The 22,674-nt window shown below is 38.5% G+C and overlaps 1 protein-coding gene across 9 annotated transcripts in view; it reads right to left on the bottom strand.

Annotated features, from left to right (window-relative positions):
• FLRT2 (fibronectin leucine rich transmembrane protein 2) overlaps window positions 1-22,674 on the bottom strand; it is a 124,285-nt gene that overhangs the window by 94,711 nt on the left and 6,900 nt on the right. The window contains exon 3 of one of the 9 annotated variants that reach the window (NR_144387.2): window positions 6,875-6,985. The exons of the other annotated variants lie outside the window; for them this stretch is intronic. The gene's annotated coding sequence lies outside the window, so the exon portion shown is untranslated. The remainder of the gene's footprint in view (window positions 1-6,874; window positions 6,986-22,674) is intronic. 9 annotated transcript variants of the gene reach the window in all.

Below are 22,674 nucleotides of genomic sequence, written 5' to 3'. Positions count from 1 at the left end.
TGAGCCTCCCTTTCCTTAGCTGAAAAATAATGATCATATTAAACTGACCTGCTGAGCTGCTATGAGGTTAAAAAAAAGTGTGAAGGGGCTTTATAGACAACGTATAATCATGGGTAGATATATTATATATAGATATACATATATGACATACATACAATCTTTACTACAAGCATGTATGGTTCAGCTCACTCTCTTTCCTCTGGGCAGTAAGAACAGTGCCTTTAAAGAACATCTGAACCATTTGGAACCAAAGGAACTAATACTCATTTTGGTGTAAATTTAGTCCCAAAGTGGTTACTTACTGCATCCAGTATTCCTTCTTCTTTTCTGCTCAGCTAATCCATGTTCTTTCACCAATGACCAGCTCAAAGTTCATCCATCACCTCCTGGAGTCTTCCCAGGGGCCCGAAGGAGAAAGGGCCCCTCTTCTACTCTGTTTTCAGGCTGCAATGTACACAGCCTCCCCCATCATAGCATCTCTGCTCCCAAGTCTGTCCCCATCAGACTGTGAAGAAGTTGAGACTGGGGTCTGAGTCCTCTGTATGCTTGTACCCCTCTGCTGAGCATATTTTCAAAAAGTATGTGTTGATGGGGCTGAATAGCAAAGTATTCTGCATGAAGAGCTATGACAGTGATGTATGTGTACACATGCATGTGCACCTATCTATGTGTACACATGTGCTTCTATGTGCGTGTATTGGTCTGTGTTAATGTATTTAAATACAAGTTTATTTGATTAGAACACTAAACGTTTAGGAAGCCACTAGCCACCTGTACACATTATCCAATCCAGAGAAAACTATGCAAATAACTAGTTCCTTTATTTCAGAATACATTATTTCCCGAAGGTTATTATCTGCTCTGGCAATAGCAGTATCAGAGCAATCACTCTAAAGACAAACCATGTCAAATATGCATGATACAAAAGCATTCCAAAAACAAAATGTTGATCTAGAAAAGAATCATGTAGCAGGAACTCCCTGGTGAGTAAATACCTCAATGCTGCTGTGATGGCTGCCCTTCATCTGAGCAATTACATCTTCCCCTCTCTTTTGTGATGTCATTTTAAACTGAAAGCATTAGGTAGCAAGGAGCACTGTAATTAAAGCTTCAAACAAAAAAATGATTGAAGAAACACCGAAAGAGACTCCTCCTTTGAAACTGCATTTCAATTCTCCTCATGTCTCTGGAAGAAAAATGCTTCTGACAGTCTATATTTTACCACTGTTTCATTTAATAATGCATATCGACATTTATCCAGGAACATGCCTTTACTTCTCCTTTTAAATCACCTGAACACCTGCCCATTCCCATGACTCCAAATTCCTCCTTCTCTCCCACCTACTCGGTTTTTCTTTTATCCTTATTTACTTTTTTTAAAAAATTTATTTTTGATGCAAAGATAAATGTTGAAGGATTAAAAAAAAAATTCCTGAAAAGCCTGACTATATAATTCTACGGGCATATGAGAGCCCTTTGCCTCTTGTTCTGCTTACAAATTAAAAATAGGGCATAAACCCAAATGAAAATAAACACACAAGCACATGCACATGCACATATATTCCAAGGGCAAACAGAATACATGGAGGGCTTCAATCTCCTTATGGTCTGTTTATACAACATCATCAGTGCTTTCTACGGAAGTCTACGGATGCTTTCTGCGGAAGTCTACAGATGCTTTCTACGGAAGTCTATGGATGCTTTCCACATAAGTCTATGGATGCTTTCCACAGAAGTCTACATTACGTGTTTCATTTCCTGAAAAAGATCCCAGTTTGACCATTTCTACAGTCACCATTTTCCTTCTACCATGAACTAGCGACATAAGCAAAGTAGCTCTGAGAAGTGTCTTTTTAGTTTGCTTTTGTTAATTAATTAATTAATTAATTTATTTATTTATTGAAATGGAGTTTTACTCTTGTTGCCCAGGCAGAGTGCAGTGGTGCAATCTCGGCTCACTGCAACCTCTACCTCCTGGCTTCAAGCAATTCTCCTGTCTCAGCCTCCCAAGTAGCTGGGATTACAGGCACATGCCACCACACCCGGCTAATTTTTGTATTTTCAGTAGAGACTAAATTTTAGTTTCATCATATTGGTCAGGCTGGTCTCGAACTCCTGACCTCTGGTGATCCACCTGCCTCAGCCTCCCAAAGTGCTGGGATTACAGGCGTGAGCCACCGCGCCTTGCCGTGCTTTTGTTTTTATACTCTATCTGGGCCTAGTGGAGATGCCATCTATTCTATCTCCTTTTTGAAAATCTAGGTGCCCCATTCATAATACTTCATATTCCTAATGTAACCTGAAGAAACAAGAAATTCCAGAAGATTTATTAATTCAACACTTCAATACTCGGTTAGGTGCGGCAGAGGTATTACAAGATGAATATGATATGAACCTTGCTCTTAAGGCATTTGCAAACTAGTAAGGTAGCTGGCTAATTAAAAAAAGCTTCAGAAAAAAAAAAACACTGGAAATTAGTCATGTTTTTTAAGCTTCTACCTTAGTAAGAGGGTCTCTGTGTTTTGCAGGTTTATTCATAACATCTGATATGGTTTGACTCTGTGTCCCCACCCAAATCTCATCTTGAATCATATTCCCATAATTCCCATGTGTTGTGGGAGGGACCCAGTGGAAGATAATTTGAATCATGGGGGCAGTTTCCCCCATACTGTTCTTGTGGTAGTGAATAAGTTTCATGAGCTCTGATGGTTTTATCAGGGGTTTCTGCTTCTGGGTCTTCCTCATTTTCTCTTGCCGCTGCCATGTAAGAAGTGCCTTTTGCCTCCCGCCATGATTCTGAGGCCTCCCCAGCCATGTGGAACTGTAAGCCCAATTAAACCTCTTTTTCTTCCCAGTCTTGGGTATGTCTTTATTAGCGGCGTGAAAACAGACTAATATCACAAAAGGTACAGAAATTGTGCTAGCAAGGCATTACTGACAACTAATAGCAACAGTTAATACTTATTGTGTATATACCATGTGCCAAGCACTATTCTATGTATTAACTCATTTAATTCCTCAAGAACTTTATAAAGTTGGTCTTATCTCCAGGCTCTACATGAGAAAACTACAGTACAGAGAAATAAGTAACTTGTCTACAGTTAGCCAGTGTGTAGAAAAATGAGACTTTGAACCCAGGGAGTCTGCCTCCACAACCAGCTTAGCCATTTTCTCCAACTGCCTCTTGGCATAGGTGCGCCCTGCAGAGTAGCATATACACAACATTACAGGGTTGAATGTGGCTTCTCTCCCAGAAACATGTGTCCTCCCCAGATCAAGCCCAGGCAAGCTGAAATATTTTTAGCAACAGTATTTTATCACTAACATTTTGAAATTAACACATCACTACTTGTATGGGAAATGGAGGAAAAGAAAAGAAGGTATTTGGGATGTAGGATAGAGCCCATTAAAGGCAAGCTAAAAATCTAAAAGAAATCTCCTACCAATGAAATTACTGTGCCATGCATATACCCCTATAAGCTTATTTTTCAATGACCCAGTGGGCATTTTCTCGCAAAATCTATATAGTTGTCTCTAGGATACCAAACTTTTTAAAAAAGTTTTAAATGTCCAGACAGCACTGCTTATTATTATTGCATTGAAGATATTCCATGTAGTTTTATGCAAGCCTAAAACATCTGTATTCATGGGATAGGATTTCCCAACTTAATGGTAAATTTCTTAATTACATGCCTTCCGTCTGTACTATACTAACATCTCATTGCTAGAAATTAGAAACATGTATACGTCTTAATGCTTATTTCTTCCTCAAGTCCTTAAAAGTGTTTTCTAGTTTTTAATAGTTGGCTTTCTTCCAATTTTCTTCTTTCCTCACCAGATTCATTTTAAGATCTCAGAGAGAGGCCAGGCACAGGGCCTCACACCTGTAATCCCAACTACTTGGGAGGCTGAGGCAAGAGGATCACTTGAGGCCAGGAGTTTGAGATCAGCCTGGGCCACAGGGTGAGACCTCATCTCTAAAAAAATAAAATAAAATAAAATAAAATAAAATAAAATAAAATAAAATAGATTTCAGATAAGAGAGAAATAGTTAAACTGCTTGATACGGTTAGGCTGTGTGCCCACCCAAACCTCATCTTGAATTGTAGCTCCTATAATTACCACCGGTTATGGGAGGGACCTGGTGGGAGATAATTGAATCATGGGGTGGTTTCCCCCATACTGTTCTCATGGTAGTGAATAAGTAAGTCTCATGAGATCTGATGGTTTTATAAGGGGAAACCCCTTTTGCTTAGTTCTCATTCTCTCTTGTCTGCTGCCATGTAGGATGTGCTTTTCGCCTTCCACTATGATTGTGAGGCTTCCCCAGCCACATGGAACTGAGAGTCCATTAAGCCTCTTTTTCTTTATAAATTACCCAGTCTCAGGTAGTCTTTATCAGCAGCATGAAAACAGACTAATACACTGCTGATCTGCTGATGTGTAACATCTTCTAGGAATCTATGCATATTCTCACATACTGACTAGTTCATTTCTAAATGTACAGCAAGGTTATCAGGACTGCTAACCTTTTTGGCCTCATAAGTCAGGATCTGAATCTACTGTGATATTTAAAGTAAGAAACTAAGCTTTAGTATGCTACCACCTTAGATTTTAGCTCTTTCTTTAAAAACAGCTTTTATACACATAGTACAATCAAATTTCTAACTTGCATACCACATCTCTAAGGCCCAAAGTTATACTATCAAAGTGATGCCTATCTCCAATAGATAGGCATTATTAGATGATGTTATAGATCTTTAATCCACATCAGTGCATTCTGCGGAAGTGGCATGTGACAGATGCCACCACTGACTCTGCAGGACGGCAAACTACCACCTTCAGCCACAGGGAAAAGGGACCTTTGAGTCAACTCTTAATGGGCATCCTGTAATGATACAGACAGAATTGTTCTCCCAACCAGGCTGTTTATTGAAATTCATAGCACAACTCTCTATTTTTATAATCAGAAAGGAAAAACTAAAGAGAAGTAACCATTCCTTGGATTAGATTAAAACCTAGACTAATATTCACAACCCTAACTATTTAGATCAAAGTCAGTGAATTCAATTTTACAAATAAGGGATCAAGTAGAAACCACAACTTGAGAAGAAAATATTCTCAACCCTATCAGGTGAGCTGAATTTCTAAGCAATTTTAATTGGAATGTGAGGTTTCGATTCAGGAAAAGACTAGAGGATTCAAAATAGGTACACAAACCACACAGAAGTGATCCAAGGGGATCTGAGAGCCATCTGTAGTCCGCTGGCACTTAAAGACAATGAAAATACTGTACATCCTATACAACCTGGACAATATTTCTCAGATTTACTAATATATCAGAAAATGAAGCACATACGTCCACTCTGTTGTAAGGGCACTTGTGGTCTGTGATGACTCACTGATAAATGTTTATCTTCTACAATGTATTTTGTGACATGACTTTGTTAAATACCTTAGGAAGACCATTTAAACTAGCACTTTGAACTTTCTGGTATATGAGGCTTCAGTAAATACTTGTTGATTGCTGGCTCACTCATGAATCCTTTTTTTTAACTTAAATACGGGTAGTGTCCTGCAGAGTGTAACAAAGCCTTTGAATAAGTTATGCTCTTTAAAAAAGACTAAAATAAGATGTTCTCCCCTTTCTTCCAAATGAGAATGAAAAGAGAAGGGAGGCCTTGCTTCATATTTTTGATGAGATTTTTCTTTCCAGTGTAAACCCTCAAAACCACATTTGACAAGTATCTACCCTACCCTTTAAGTGAATGAGTATAAAACTGAATCTATTGTTTTTTAAAGTAGTTTGGACAACTGTGTCCATCTTATAGGCAGAGTTCAGTTTTAAGACACCTGAAAACTCATCTGTTAATGCTATTTCTTCAACAGCACAAAAACACTCTATCCTTACCCAAAGTGACAATGCAGAATGAAAACTAAAAACAACAACAAAATATTTATAGTCACCTATTGGAGGTAGGCTCTAATCTTTTTCCCTTTCTCTTTCTCCCTCAATTTTTCCTTTCCGTCCTCACCCTTTCCTTCCACAAATATTTGTTAACTCCTGACTTGATAACTAATCAGTGCTTGGATCTGGCGATAAAAGTGTGAATCTAATGTCCGTAGTCCCCACAGGATTCAACAAAAGAAATAACCCTTAGATCAAGCTTGTCCAACCCACAGCCCATGGGCCAACAAAATTCATAAATGTTCTTAAAACATAAGAATTTTTGTGATTTTTTTTCTAGCTCATCAGCTATCATTGTGTTTCATGTGTGGCCCCAGACAATTCTTCTTCTTCCAATATGGCCCCAGGAAGCCAAAAGATTGGACACCCTTACCTTAGATGGTCCCAGCAGCATAGCCTCACTGAGAGAGCACGTGGATTACTGGGCACAGGAATTTAAAAGTTGGCCACTACTAAACTCCCTGTCTGCATTCTAAAATTTTATCATCACAGTCTTTATCTGTGTTTTGTGGCCAATAAACCTTAATGCTGCACAACACTAAATTATTTGCTCTTTCTGAAGGCTACAAAGAAGAGCTGGGTACGCATTTCATAACAATAACTAATGCAGATATTCACAGAATCTTAACCAAATCAAAAGAAAAGGGCCAATGGGTGAAAGGGGGCTGCTCTCTTAGGTATTCCCCACCTTATTCACTGTATCTATTTTACCTGAAAGTCTTTAATTCACAAAAATCCCATAGTTAAAATTCAATGTAGGAGTTGTATGTTGAGCACCACATGAAAAAATACCATTACTCCTGCAGTGTTCTACAACTAGATCCTGGGTGTCAGGCTGGCAAATTTTTCAGAGACAACACAGTGGCAGAAGCATCAGATACATGAGCAACAAAAGTCATTACTTACAGCAGCTTAGGTGTCTCGGAAGGATTGCAGGAATACCTCCTCACATCAAAGGCGCCATAATCAGCCCTCCAAATCTTGCCATCAACCCAAAGGTCTCCGTGTCTTACCTGTCTGCACCAGAAAACCCAATGATGCGACGGAATTATCAACATTATCATCCTGAAACAATTGCTGAGCTCCCAGAGGGGCCATTTTTCTCTTTGAAGAGGCCTGTGGGACATTGTGGGATTAGTTATGATGGCTCTGCCCTTTAGAAAGCTTTAATGATTTGGGCATGATTCAGGCAGTTGGATCAGTCATATAGGAACCTGTTAATATCAACTGCTTTCTAAAAACATCAGTGATACTCACCTTAACTTTTTCTGAATAAGCCACAGTAGAAGATCTGCTAATCTATTGAGCACTTAATTGCATCAGGCACTATGCAAAATGCCTCCTGTGGATTATCTTATTTAATCCTCATGGCAACTCTTCAAGGGGTTTTATTACTGCTATCCCCACTATGCAGATGAGAAAAGTGAGGATTATATAGGTTAAGTACTTTGCCAAGGTAACAAAGCTATGAAGCAGCGAAGGTACCTACAAACCCAAGTAGACTAAACCCAGAGCCAAATTCTAACCACTAAGACAAGCTCCCTAGATTCTGAGAATCAGAGAATTACTAGAACTGCCCGGCCTTGTACAGATGAAGAAACTGTGCCTCCAAGGTTCAGTAAATTGACAGAAGTCACAGATTTTTTTAGGGGCAACATAAAACCTAGAATTTAATGCTCCTGCTCACTATCCTATTGATATTTTGAGTATCCCCCATTGCTTGACAGTCCAATTCATGGCAAGAGTTGTTGATAAGGTGTCCATCTGCTACATGGATGCACAAAACAGAAAGGGACATGACCTTTGGTAGTTCATTTTCCTCTCTGGAAATCTAGAAACAGGGATAAATACATATGCCTTACCTACCACAGGAGATATAGAAGTGAAATGATAATCAAAATGGAAACTTTAAGAAATAAAAAATATGTGAGTTACAAACATGGAAAAGATTATGGAAAATGGTTCTCACCTTCAAGTTTCTCACCACATGGCTACCTTTTCTCACTGGCAAGAAGTGAATTAAGTCATCAGTAATCTCAGTCGGGTCCATTAAAATCTAAAATACAATAAATCTTAAGGTATTTCAGGGCGAAACCCCTATATATATTCATCCTTTCCATGTGTCCATCCTTCCATGTATGCATGCATTCATCCATCCATTTAGTAAAGAATTTAGGATACAATGATAATTAGCCAAAAACATCATAGCCACAACAATAAACAGGACAAATGGAGGTAACACTGGAGCCATTTTACTTTCTTTGTGAATACTCAATACATATCCCTTGGAGAAAGGTAAGAGCTACTGTAAACAGAAAAGGAGATACTAGAAGGTAATTTCCACCAGTGGCATGCCTGTGCCTTTCTTAAATTTCTCTCCCACCCCTCCCATTTCCTAATTTTTCCAGGCAACCCCATTCCTTACATCATATCAGTTATGATCAAATGGTCCCACATACCACCTTGCACAGATACCAATCACTGCTCCTCCATCAACAAGGTGCTTTTAATTTCAAAAAGAAAAGGAAATGGGATTTGAAGTTTAAATTTCTTCATTTTCTCTTTAGGAGTTCTGGTAAACAGGTGGAATCAGAATCACTTCTAAGCTACTAGCTAAATGAAATTAAAGATTTCTCACTAGATTTCATTATTTACAAATCTCTGTCACTTAAGGATGATGAATTATGTGAATAGTAATTTTGTCAGGAACCTATTTGCTATATATTTTCATAGAAATTCCATTCATGATTTCACAAGACAGAATCATGGAGGAGGATAGGGTAATGAAAAGCCAGCTCGTGTGCATGCCTGTCATAAGACCAAATTTAAGCTAAACCAGCAGATTAATTATTCTTGTTATTTTTAAGGGTCGCTAATAAAGGAAATGCTACAATTTTCCAATGAAACCCCCTCCAGATTTTCAACGTGTGTTAGACAAGGAGATCAATCCTTCAGCACAAAGAAAAATATAATCAAATATAAGTTCTAATATCCATGTTTTAAGTTAAAAAAAATGTGTTCTATAGATCCTTCTTTATCTTTTAACATTGCATTTCTAGATTGTGGATAAGCCTTAAACTGAAATGTAGGTAAAGGCTAAAACAACCCTAACTTCTCTCCAAGAATCAGAAAGGAAGTCCACATAATTTTGCATGACTTTAGGGTTTTCATCGGAAAAAAATACCTTCTTAACTTTGGATGATGTTAATATTATGCAGAAAAAGAAACAAAACTCATTAGCTGATTGTAATTACATTAGTTATCCATGCTAAATGAAATGTGTCTCATATCACGTCACATTTTCCACAATGTGGTCTACAGTGAACTCATTTACCTGATCTGCCTTTTTTTGCTTCCCTGTTTGAAAGGGCTCTCATTTCATTGTTTACCTGATTCCTAACAGCCATTCCCTAGGGTTTTCTAAGAGTAAATGCTCATTCTTAGAATCTCGTACTTGAGAATTCCACCAGTAGAAACACTCACAGCACTGTCCCCATAGAATATATTACGAATGTGGCTATTTTCTCGTTTATAGTGACAAGCTGAAATTTAGTAGAAAAAAATCTCCTTTTTTGCCTGTTGATAAGCCAGCCTCCTCTACATGCAGTTGTTTTTAAGAGCACTTTCTCTGGGTAATTCCCTTCCAATAATCCACGATGCCTGCTGTTTTTGAGGTGAAGAGATGGCTGAAAATATTTCTTTTTTTTTTTTCCCAGAAATAAGTGGTTGTAAGAGTTCTTCAACAAGCATATCCAAATTGAGATAGAACAGTGACTACTTCTAAGGTACCTTATCTTCTTCTTGACCACAGAAATAAATATTGTTAAAAAGAAATTAGGCAAGATGTACTGTGGCCCCACAGGGAGGCCCTTTAGGAGAATGGTAACACAGCCTTACGGAATTGCCTTATCTATGCAGGCCAAAAAAAAAAAAAAAAAATAGCTATGTGTAAGCCACAGAATTCATATCATTTTACATTGGAGGGCAAAGGGATAGGGATTTTAATGCATGCTAGTACTTGAAGTGTGGCAGATAACACACAATCTATTCAACAATTCACCAGAGTGGTCCTATGAGTATTATTTTTTCTCTACTGAAAAATTGAGGAAGTAGCCACAAACACAAGCACCAAGAAACATGCTGAAGTCATCCTAGTTGCTTGAGACAGAACCAGGATTCAAATCTAGTCTGTCTGATTCCAAACTCCATGACCTTCTCTCTATGTTCACTCTATATCTTTATGAAATGGGATATTCCCCTCAGACTCTTTGCAAGACTCGTGAAGGGGTTGGCTCATTTACTCAGCCCACAGCTCTCAACCCCTCATGGGCAGGGTAGCACACAGGTGAGCAGGTGCAGAGGCCAGGACAAGAGCTTCTGGGCAACTGGGCAGAAGCAAAACTCCGTGCAGGCCCATGGCAGCATCTAGGAGTTGCCCACAAGCCCCCAGAGTCCCAGAGGCCCTGTGTTACAGTGTACTCTTTTAGTTTTGCCATCCATGGATGGCTTAAGTGTTAGACAGCTCAGTGGAGGGTCAGTGTGACAGTCTCTTGCACCCGTACCTGGGTCACTGTCTGGCATCCAGGGGGAATCAGGTCACACAAATGAATTGAAGATGGTAAACCCAGAGGATTTTATTGCTGATGGAAGTGGATCTCAGTGGAATGAAGAGCTGGAAAGGGGATGGAGTGGGAAGGTGGTCTTCCCCTGGAGTTTGGCCATCCCTGGTCAAACTCTTCTCCAAGGTCCCACTGTCAAGCTGTCCCTCTGAAGTCAAGCTGCTTTTCTCCAACGTCCAGCTACTTCTTCTCTTCTGTCTTTCTCAGCTGCTCTGCTGCTCTGCTGGTGGGGCCTGTGGTTTTTATGGGCACAGGATGGGGGACAGGGCAGGCCAGTATGGTTTTGGAAAAGGCAACATTCGGGTGGGGAAAACAGAAATGCATGTTCTCACTTTGGGCCATGGGTCCAGGCTTGAGGGTGTGGCTCTCGCCAGGGACCACACTTCTTCTACCCAGTATTTCCCTGCTTCCTGTTTGTATCATTTACACAGCTCCTTTTTAAAAAGAATACAATCATGGAGATAATAAAAAGCATGTGATTGTTGTATTTTCCAAAACATCCAGATGTCTTCGAAGATTCCAGCAAGCTAGTCTATGGTTTTGCAATATCACAAGCATCTCTTCAATATAAACTATAGCACAATTAATTTGGCTATCAAGCCTCAGCTTAATAATTCAATTCAACATAATCAAGTTCTAAGGCCTCTGATTATTTCTATTTGTTCTTGCCTAGAGGCTTGGAAAGAGTACAGGTTTTAAAAATATAAACAGAGGACTTATGATGCATTTGGAATATTCTACCTTCCTATTTTCAAAGCAAGAGGCTGCACTGCTTTGGAAAAGATTCCATGGAGAGAACAAAGGAAGCTTCTTCTATGAGATAATTTTAAAATTCATATATATCAGAGTTATTTGTGCAAACTTGGTAAATATTAATTTATCCAATATTTAAATCTAATGGGAAGTAGCATACATGAGGTAGACAGAGTGGTACTCTATGGAAGTTTCACAGAAGTAGGTTGAGGCCACACACCTGAGTTCAATTCAATGCCTCAAACATTTATTCAGCATTATCTTCACCCTTGTGAAAGGAAAATAAATCCTGGGGCCCCAAAATCACTAAGCTAAAGGGAAAAGTCCAGCTAGGAACTGCTTGGGCAAACTTGGCTCTCATTCTATTCAGTCACCACTCTGCTCACTGAGATAAATGCATATCTGATTGCTTCATTTGGAGAAGCTAATCAGAAACTCAAAAGAATGCAACTATTTTCCTCTCATCTACCTATGATCTGAAAGCCCCCTCCCTGCTTCAAGTTGTCCCACCTTTCTGGACTGAACCAATGTACATCTTACACATATTGACTGATGTCTTATGTCTCCCTAAAATGTACACAAACCAAGCTGTGCCCCTATTACCCTGGCACACGTCCTCAGGACCTCCTGAGGCTGTGTCATGGGTGCACATCCTCAACCCTGGCAAAATAAACTTTCTAAATTACTTGAGACCTGTCTCAGACTTGTGGGGTTCATACCCTAGATGAGCTTACCCTCAGAAAATAAAGACAAAGCGGCCGAGCAAGGTGGCTCAAGCCTATAATCCCAGCACTTTGGGAGGTCAAGGCGGGCGGATCACAATGTCAGGAGTTCGAGACCAGCCTGGCCAACGTGGTGAAACCCCATCTCTACTAAAAATAGAAAAGTTAGCCGGGTGTGGTGGCAGGCACCTGTAATCCCAGCTACTCGGGAAGCTGAGGCAGGGGAATCGCTTGAAACTGGAAGGCAGAGGATGTAGTAAGCCCAAGATCACGCTACTGCACTCCAGCCTGGGCGAAAGAGCGAAACTCCATCTCAAAAAAAAAAAAAAAGAAAGAAAGAAAAGAAAGACAAAGTATTTGGTAAAATTTTACATCACATTGGGGCTACTATGCAGATAAAAATGGGGACACATCCTAAATTTAGGTCAGAAGGGAAGAATAACTTTCTTTGGAAAGACTAGGGAAAGTTTGAGAAAGAGGGACCTTGAAAGTCAAACTGGGGAGTTTAGACTTGATCCTCTAAACAATGGAGAGTAATATTGTCAGCACAAGAATGAGGAAGAGTAATGTAATTGGTGTGCAGGTCAGGAAAGGAAAGATGAAAGGGAAGGAGAAATATGGGCTTAATTACAATGACCCCAGGATAATCAAAACAGAAATTTGTTTTAAGTGCCTAAGACTAGTGACAGAACACGTGACGATGAATAAAAGACAGTAATCAAAGAAGACTCAAACTACTGATTCTAGGCAGCATATTTTGTTTAATAAAGAAATGTTAATTCAGCACAAGTAGGACTTTATTGGGAATGTTTAGTTCATTCTAAAACACAGTGACACTGAAGTCCAGTGGAAAACCCAAGTGAGTTCAGCACTTGGAGGGAAGGAAGAGGGACACCATGCCATAGGCTGATTCTTGACGGATGCATGTAGTCCAGACAAACAAGGAAGCCATTTCTAGCAGCAGAGACATTGGTATGTTAAGGTTTCCTTTATAGGGCCTGATCATTTTTCAGGAGCAAATTGCAGAGGGCAAGCGTTTCGGTTCTACCCAATTCAGCTAAATTTGCACTTCCATAGACAGAAGAAACACCACAGAATTCACCAGGAAGCCAAATGCTGCTGGTGCTTTCATGTGGTAATGGAGCTGGCTGCCTGTGGAGCCATTCACCTAACTGCTACCACACCTAAGTAGTACCTACTTCCCTAAACAGCCCCACCAAGGATTCCATTAGACTGGCCCAGGGCAGAAATAATTCACAGTCCCCTCTTGACAGATAATGAGCAGATGGTGACAAAAGAACACAGAAGTGACAGAAGCCACAGTCTAGCTACTTAAAGGGAAGTGAAGGAATTAAGGAATGGATCACATAATTTCGACAGTATTAATAATATTTACAGAGAAATACCATGGACAAATAACTGAAGGGTCTTAATTACAACCCTAGAATTCAAAAAACACAACTTTCATACATGTAGAGATGAGTGCAACCACAGAAAGTGCAAAAAGCGAGGGATGGTCAAAAATCTAATTCAATAGTGTAAAGATTTGCAAGCACATACTGTGCTTATTTTCCATTCATCAATGTGGAACAAGCCTTTCCGAGCCCATCTCTCATCATTTTTTCACCCAATAAAAGCTTACCGCCTGAGCAATTACATAGATTTTGAAAACCAGTGAAGCTGACCTATTAATAACACAGTCAATTCTCCATTTTTCCCAGGCCCTCTCAGAGGCCACACACTTTATGCTATTATCTTCCCTCTGGTCATTCCGTTGTCCATTATCACCTCCACAGGGAAAAAGAGGTGAATCTCAAATCAATCCATTTAGCAGTGCTGGTAAAAGGGTAAGGGGAAAAAATGGAGAGTGTTCTCTACAATAAATATAGCCCCTAATCATTAGGCATGTATCCACAAGCTTTCCTTAGTACTGAAAATGTGCTAGAAGTTGTCATGCTTTGTTTTCAAATTAATGATTCTTCACTATTTCCATGTTACAGAAATACATTGAGAGACTCATGAATCTCTTTCACCCAAAAGTGGCAGACTAACTAATGATTTCTTAGGCAGTTGTCTACTCGAAAAGACAAATATAGAAAGTTGGACCACTGGTTAGCAGCTCATCATTTATACCTACTGGACAGTGAGTAATCACCTCTGAATTTGATTTTTAAGCCATGGACAAACAAATTTTGAGTTGATTTTGGAAATTATCCAGTGTCCATCTACCCTTTTAAGACAATTAATAATAACTCTAAAGTAAAACAAGCAATCTGAGGCAACTCTCTCTACTTCAGTTTCCCTTTGTGTAAAATGGGGCTATTCACAACTTTTATCAACAGAACCTACTGTACAAGGTTTAGATGAGATAATATACATGAACTGCATAAACAGCACTCTAAATAAACCTTACGATCAATATCATTATTAATATTGTTGTTACTGTTGTTATTACTGGACTTCTGGATAAGAAGTTGGCCCTGCCAATACTCTTTGTAATTCAAGAAACCAGGAGAGCACATTGTTTCTAAACAGTCTCATAAATTAACATGAAAAGATCTGGGGTGGTGTTATAAGCCTCCAGTATTAAGGGGTAGTGTCTGATCAAAAATCATCTCATGTGTTTTTTCACGAGTTTCCCACTGGCTTGGGAAGTATTCCCAACATGCAGACAGCCCAGATGAAACCAAAGGCTAGGAAGGGGCATATCAAACTGTGCTCTATCCTCTTCTACTCTTTTCAGCCACTGAAAAGTTTTGCTGAAAAAAGGGGAGGAAGGGATTGAAGTGTGTTTAATGTGTGTTTGCAAATACACCACTTGCATGCAAGTCAACTTTGTCCATCAAATGGCAATCTACCGCGAAACTTAACAAAGTATTGTTTGAATTTTCTTTTGGCCAACAAGAAGAACCTAAAGTCCAACTTCCTGTAACCATCAACACATTAAACCATATAAATTTAGATTTATTGTAACCTTCCCAAGCTTTGTGCTGTACTCAATGTGCAAATCATGAAGACTAAAGATGGATCCTATTTTGTGGAGCCAAATTAAGGCGTTGTGATTTCTAGCCTTCTTTTCCCTTCTCTGGAGAGCCCTGGGTCCTCAGAGGCCTCTATCAGGAAATAATGGGCCTAGGATGAAATAAACAAAATAATAACAAGCAAAAAATAAAGAAGAGAGCAAATGCACAAAATTTCACAAGACCTTTGCTTTGCTCTTGTTAATTATGCCAAGACAGATACACAAAGTTAATGCTGAGTTAAATTTCTCATTCTGTGGAAAACCACATCTGTGTGAACATCTACGTAACCGATAGTTTTACTCAGTGCCAAGAAAGGTGTATCATCAAGCGAAATTATTATTCTTTAAACAGACCTATCCAGTGTGGCATATGAATTGCCTCATGTGTGGTTTGGAAAGCTTGCTGCTGATCAAGGTTGGGTTTACCAGCCAATATTTGTCTGACAAACCTGCTCAGAGTAAGGCAGAAAGGTGGTGGTTGTACTTCCCCCTCCACTGGGTAATCAATCTATGGGAATAAAAAAATACTTCTGAGGAAGCAGTCCTTCTCACTGGATTATGAAGATCTTCTTGTGTTCCAGGTCTGGTCAGTGCTATTCCATTTACTAACTCAATTACATTTTTGCAGAATGCGGTACACTGGGCAACTCTGTTAGCACCACAGAGATGAAATGAATGGGCCAAAGTTCCTAAAGTCTAATGAGCGAGATAGACATGTAAGCAGACACATTTTATAATACAATATAAACAGAGAACCAATCAAAGTTCAAACAAAACTCTGTAGAAGCCCAGAGAAAGGAGTAACCAGGAGGGAAAGTGTCATCCACGTGCCTCTTAAAGGAAGAGTTTGCCAAATGGAGAGTATGCGATAATGTTCTAGGTAAATGGTAAACAGCATGGGAAAGGCAAAGTATCAAGAGGGCCATGCCTCACCATGTTTGGCATGAGGGTACAGGGGATGGGTGCTGAACAATGAGGTCTGAGGAGTGGTTTGAGATCTAGATTGTCACGGATCTTGCGTGGCATGATAACAAGTTTTGATGGGCTTTATCCAAAGATATAGGTTTCTAAAGGAATATGATGTGATTTCTTTATTTTTTTTTTTTAGAAAATTAATTCTGGGGACACCAAAAACAGTACAATGGTTTAGGGGACACTGATGGTGGGGAGAACAGACAGGAGACTGCCGCTACCAAGAGAGAAGCCAGCCCTGATATCTAGCCTCTCTGAAGGTACTTTTCTAGCAGATGGAGTTAAATTGAGCAATATTTTCTATGTGGCAAAATACACAGAAAAACTTTCAGAAAGTCACAAGTGACTACAAGTCAGACAACTATAAAAAGCACTGATTCTCCGGTCAGAAAAAAAATTCTAAAAACTATCTAGCTCAGTGATTTCCAATAATGGGAGCTTTCAAGAACTCACATTCCCAGGTTTCATCACAGACTTAACACATCAGAATCTCCACCAAAACAGGATCCACCTTAGTCTTCATGATTTGCACACTGAGTATAGCAAAGGGCATGAGAAGGTTACAATAAACTCTAAACTTACAGGGTTAAATGTGTTGATGGTTACAGGAAGTTGGACTTTAGGTTCTTCTTCTTGGCCCAGGAATCTGTATTTCTAACCAGCTCCTTCGGTTAATTCAGGTAGATAGGTCAAGTTTAGAAAAGAGTGACTATAGGCCAACCTATCAGATTTCTCTGTGAGCAGGGACAAAGTCTTGTCTGAAAGAGTATCCCAAGTGCCTAGCACAAAATTTAGCATGGTGCCTGGCACACAGTGAGGACTCAATCTTTGTCAAATCCTCAGTTACAAGCTCGTGACTCAAACGGATGTCTGCGTGGCATTCCTTCGGGACTCAGAGATTATTAGAATCAAGTTTTAAATTCCATTGCTGTCAGCACCACTGGACTTGTTCTTTACCTATCTGAGTACAAAACTACTTTTTAAAACCATTTCCCAAAGAATTTTAATCTCTCTTACATTTCCTAAAGTAGCAAAACAAGGTCTTTTTGTTTTATGCTGGGTTGAATGTTGGTTCAGAAGCTACTTACTAAGATGTTAACAGCTTACAAAATACACTCTAGTGCCTGCTTCTCTCAGGTCCAATTTGATTAATTATATGTATATATTACATTATATATTATGTGATCTTAACAGAAAAAGCCTATGTGTTTCCTAGCTTGGAGGTCTGGGGCATGCCTAACATCTTGTTAAATATAGCTTTCCTACATCAATAAATTTACGGATTCACAGTGTTGAAAAAAACAGGGGCAAATCTCAAATGTTGAATGGAACACAGAAATTATACTATACATACATGCAATTATAATGATAAATGAAAAATAACCCCAGTACCATGTATTTTTACCAGGACATCTGAACACTGCTATTTGTTCAGAAGTATCTGCAGTAGAAACAGTAAGAAGTTCCTTTACTTAATTGAAAATTATCTTCTGAAAGAAATAGTTCCACAATGAACTCATAGCCCAAGAGTATCATTCTGATTCCAATGTACACAGCAAGGTATAATCATTCTATAAGGATAGAATAAGCCTTAAGCAAGCATAACGATAATTTACATGCTAATCTTCTACAATAAAATATTTTCATGACTCTGCCAAGAGTCATGTATAAAGTGAATTGTGTGAGGAAAGTTGTTAAAATTCATTTTGATAAAAATCTTTGTACTTTGGCAAGGACATAACCATGGCTCACTGAGCTCAGTGTCATAGTCTAGACATGGAACTCCTTGGAAGCTGCAGGCACTGGTGTCATCGGCAGAAGGACACATGGCTGTGAGGTAGAAGGCATGGGGGTGGGTATAAACCCATTAATTGCCACAAAGGCTATGCTTTCAATGAACAAATAAAGTCCAAGTTAGGACCCAGTTCATTCCCCAAACTGAGACAAGTCAGTAGAAGGTAATGGTAAGACAATGAAATCATTATCATTTTGGAGACAGAAGGACCTACAGTCGGCATTCATTAGGCCTCTCCTATGTGCCAGAACAGGTAGACATTTTAAAGAATTATCTCAATCCTAAAATTAATAGCTCTAGGAGTAGAAAGAGCTACTCCTCCATTTTCCTCCATTTTCTACTTAAGGAGACAAAGAGTAAGACTGTCCATCTCCAAATGAAGAGCTCTTTTCACTAACACTATGAGTTTCTGGCATACTTAGTGTTGACTGCACTCCCTTCAATCTTGTATAAAACTGCAATGCAATTAGGTTTTGTGTCTACCTCTCTGCTCACTAGCCTAGCTGGCCTCAAGTGGAGGGATCATGCCTTACCTACTTTTGGCCTGTCCCATCTTACTCTATGCCCAGTTCATGGATAGTGCTAAAAATCATCTCCTGAATGAATGAGCAAGCTTTCTTCATTTGGTGAAACCTCCATAAGAATATCTCCTTCATGAAGATCAGGCCAGTCAGACTTAAATATATTTTCTGATTGCATTTTGTACTTTTCTTCATTTACAGTTTCCCTAAGACCTATTTGGAAAAAGAAAATCACCAATTAAAAACTATTTGGGTTACATCACTATTTTTATCATATTAAGGACATATGTGCTAAACTGGCACTACCTAGCTTCAGGCTATAACCATACTTCCTCCCCATAGTACATAAGACTTATATTTGTTGGTGCATTTCAGAGATATAAACACGTACTAACTCCCCACATATATACCTACAGATGATTCTCATTTTATTAGTAGACCTCTTTAAAGTAGTAGCAAATATTTTCTCTCTTCAAATATTATATCATTCAACACTGCCAGTACAAAAGGTATTCAGATTAATTTTGCCGAACTATGCAAGTAATTTTCCATGTTAAAATACAGTTCTGTGGCCACATACTTTACAATGTACTGCTAAAGTACTAATCAACTTTAAAAAAAAAACATTAAAAAAGCAAGTGTCAGAACTCCGACAATAGCAAATCATAGATTGAAAAGAATGTTGTTGGATACAGACTTCATACCTCAAATCACCGAAAGAAATACTCATTTTGGCCAAGAATCGGGATCCAACCACGTATTTTATAAATATAGATTTCACCAAGGCATTTGTTTTCTGAAGCCTTCAACTATGCAACAGAAAAACAATTAAGAATTAACCTTTACAAAGGTCTAAATGTAAACAATTTAGCAAAGAGAAATAAACATGCTCACTCTTGGAACCTTTAAAATTAAGAGTCTCAGATTTGACAATAGTAAAAACAGAACTGAACAAAACATGCAGAAATACACTGTAAAGAACTGTTCCACAGGGTTTAATGACACTAACATCAAAATAAAGCCAAGCTTTGGAATACACGTTGGCTTCATAATAAATTGTCTTTCTATTCACTGTTAATGGGTTGAGGAGGTTTGCCAAACTACAAAATGTCCCTTTTGCACTAGCCTGCCTTATTTTGCAAAACAAAATTTTAAAAAATCATTGTATTTCTATTGGTGTGTGTTTGCAAAAGGTAACCTGGATAGTTAAACTGTAAATCCAGTCAAAAAGAGAAACGACCTCATTTCAGAAAACATTGATGATTTATTTTTCCAAAAAAAATCCTCAAAATTCTCTTTCCAAAATCAAAAGAAAAGTTTGACCCTTGAACTCAACTCACCCTAATTATCATTTATCCTTAAAATGGATACTTTCATCAAAATAGCGCAAACTCAGAAAAGGAGATAATCCATTATTAACTGAATGGAAGAAATGATGCAGGGGCTAGCAGCCAGTGTATTGGTTAGATGATATCTCTTGAGGCCGTAAGAGCGAAAGCTCCTGAAAGGCAGGACTCTGTCTTGGTTACCATTTTATTTATATAAAACCTAGTCTATCATAGCACAAGACAGGCATGCAGTGATAAATGTTATCAATTTGAATAATGCCTCTTTATAGGAATATAACACTGTATTGTTATCAAGGTATTTTCACACACATTAATCTTATGTGACCTCTCAACAACTCTGTTGAACTCTGTAGAGAGGAAATTAAGTCTCCAGGAGATTAAGTAATTCATACAAGGCTGAATATAGAAAGAAGCATGCTGACATGAGAATGTAGGTTTTCTTTTCCTTCCCCCAAAGCAATCTCATTTATTTCTCACTCCCCACCACAAAGTGCCAAATACGTACATCATAGGATTATACTCATTCAGAACAGGTAAACTTGTCATCTAATCTAATGCTGAAGAGTGAAATGCTATTATTTTAAATCAAAATATTTCTAGGCTTGTGATTTTTTTTTACTGTTCCAACGAAAACAAACAACTCTCATCATTTTGGGTGGTTTCATAAAGAATGGAACTTCTCAATTCTATCTGCAGAATTCTACATCTGTATGATAAAATGTAAAATGCCCAGCCTTAGTAGCCCTTAACTTCTTTCTGGCTCCAGTTACCCAATCAGAAGTGAGGCAGGTAGGACTTTCCTGTATAAATTCAGAGGCAGTTGTGAGAAATAAATGAAATCCTGGATGTGAGAACTGGAAAATGTAAGGGCCCGGAGTGATGAGGGTGGATACGAATGTGCTCTCAAAATCAATCTTAAAAAGAGATTCCTGGAACCTCTATGGCCCCTATGCACGCAAACAAACCTCTTACCTCCACTTTGTCTATTAGATATGATGAATATTATAATTCCTTGCATTATTTCCTTTGTCTAAGTACTTGAGTCCAATTTTGGGAGCAAAGTGGGAGAGGAAATCATTACAGAGGCTGTTTAGATGCTAGATTCTGATGAACGTGACATGTAGAGGCAGCTGGGGCTAAGAGTGACACCAGCATGTGAACCTATTTCAGGACTGATATGCGTCTAATGTTTTCCATTCAGCCATATGACCTCTGTTGACTTCAATGGACAGTATATTTGTGAACCAATTTTAGGAGCCACTGTTCTTTTGCTCCCTGCTGAAGGTGGTTTCAATTGTTCTGAGGCCTAATATCATCTATAAACTTTGGGACCTGATATTTTTTCAGTGGGTTGAAATCCAAAAGCCCTCAGGTTCTTAAGGGGTTCAGATGGAAGATTCTTTTATCTGTGTCTTGAAAGCTCTAATAAAGAGAACTGAAATATAACAGTATGACATGTGAACTGAAGGGAACAGAAGACCTTTTTCCAAGTTTCTTGCACATTCCCTTAAAAGTAACCTGGGAACAAAGTGGGGGGAAAAACTGCTCAGTTCTAATGAGCATCTAATGGTTAGTAGCTCCAGAGAGTTACTTTGTGAATGCTTCAAAAATGGCTGAGGTCTTTAACCATTAAACTGCCAGAAAAAGTATGTCCTTAGTAAGTATCAGCAGAATAACTGACCAGTGTTTGAGAATCATCAACGTGTCCTTTTGACTTTCCAAATTATATAAGAATATTTTCTTTGACCTTCCCTGATTAACAGATCCGGATGTAACAATGACACTGCTTTGTTTGGGTGACTCAAGGCACATGGCACTGCACACTTTTGCAGGAACACATCCTACATTAAATTAAGTTAGAGGTGGTATTTGAAAAATAAATAAATAACGGAGTTCCAATTCACTGCAAATGGTACAGGAGGCCAGTAAGTGGGAGGCTTGCAAGAGAAGGACTTCTTTTAGAAAGATGTTTTACAGAACTTTTTCTGCATCATTAACTCTTCTGGAATCCTGAACACAACATGATGAATTTCCCTGAAAAAGTAGCTACTGTTTAATTTTGAATCACTTCAAAGAGCCACAGTAGAAGGAATCAAAGAAAACCAAAAACACCAGTAGATGTGAAATTCGCTAAGGAAGAAAAAAAAAAAACAAAACATGAAGGTTCTAACAGATTTTGACCATGTACTCAAAATACCACTGATTATTTTACTAGTACAGTGTTTTACTGTTCCATGAGAATGAAATAAGTCTCTGTATTCATCAGAACACAGGATATTTTTATTACAATATTTGTGTCATAGCCTTTAAAAAAGGAACATAGTTCAAACCTTGAAAAGAATCTCTGTCTTAAAATGGTTCTTGATGTATGTGTGTGTTGTGTGTGTGTGTGTGTGTGTTTTACTATAAACAGATACGTAATTGGAGGTCCTTTATTACTGAAAGGAGTAAAAGTATACTGATACGTCAATTCGCGACATGTAGTTTTAGAAGAAAGATATAATTGCACAAAAGCAATTTGGAGAGTAGAAAAAGTAAGAAAGTTGTCTGAAGTAAGATAATGGTTGTTTAACTTTAATAATAATAATAGCTAGTCTTAAAAAAGTCTTTTGTGTAAAAATTGCCCAAGGGAAAAGAAAGAAAACCTCCTAAAAATTCCATATCCCCAAATACCACTAGATCAAAAACCATCTGGAAAATGTCAGATAATGGTATCCACCCACCTAAGAAATTCAGTAAACTTTGTCTTCAATTAGCATTTGAAATAATCGGCTAAAATTGAAATTTCTATCTGAAAACCCTCACAAGACAAACCTGGATTAGGAATCAGATTTTTAAAGTCTCCTTAAAAGGACCATCTGTTTATAAATACTCTTCTCACACTCTTTGATCTGTACCATAAGTTCACAGTAGAAGCACAGCAGAATTTAAAGACATATACACACAGCTACCA

The sequence above is a fragment of the Homo sapiens genome, chromosome 14 (genome assembly GCF_000001405.40).
Source record: "Homo sapiens chromosome 14, GRCh38.p14 Primary Assembly".
Taxonomy (NCBI): domain Eukaryota; kingdom Metazoa; phylum Chordata; class Mammalia; order Primates; family Hominidae; genus Homo; species Homo sapiens.
Note: the sequence above shows the minus strand (reverse complement) of the source record. Positions and strands in the feature narration are given on the sequence as shown.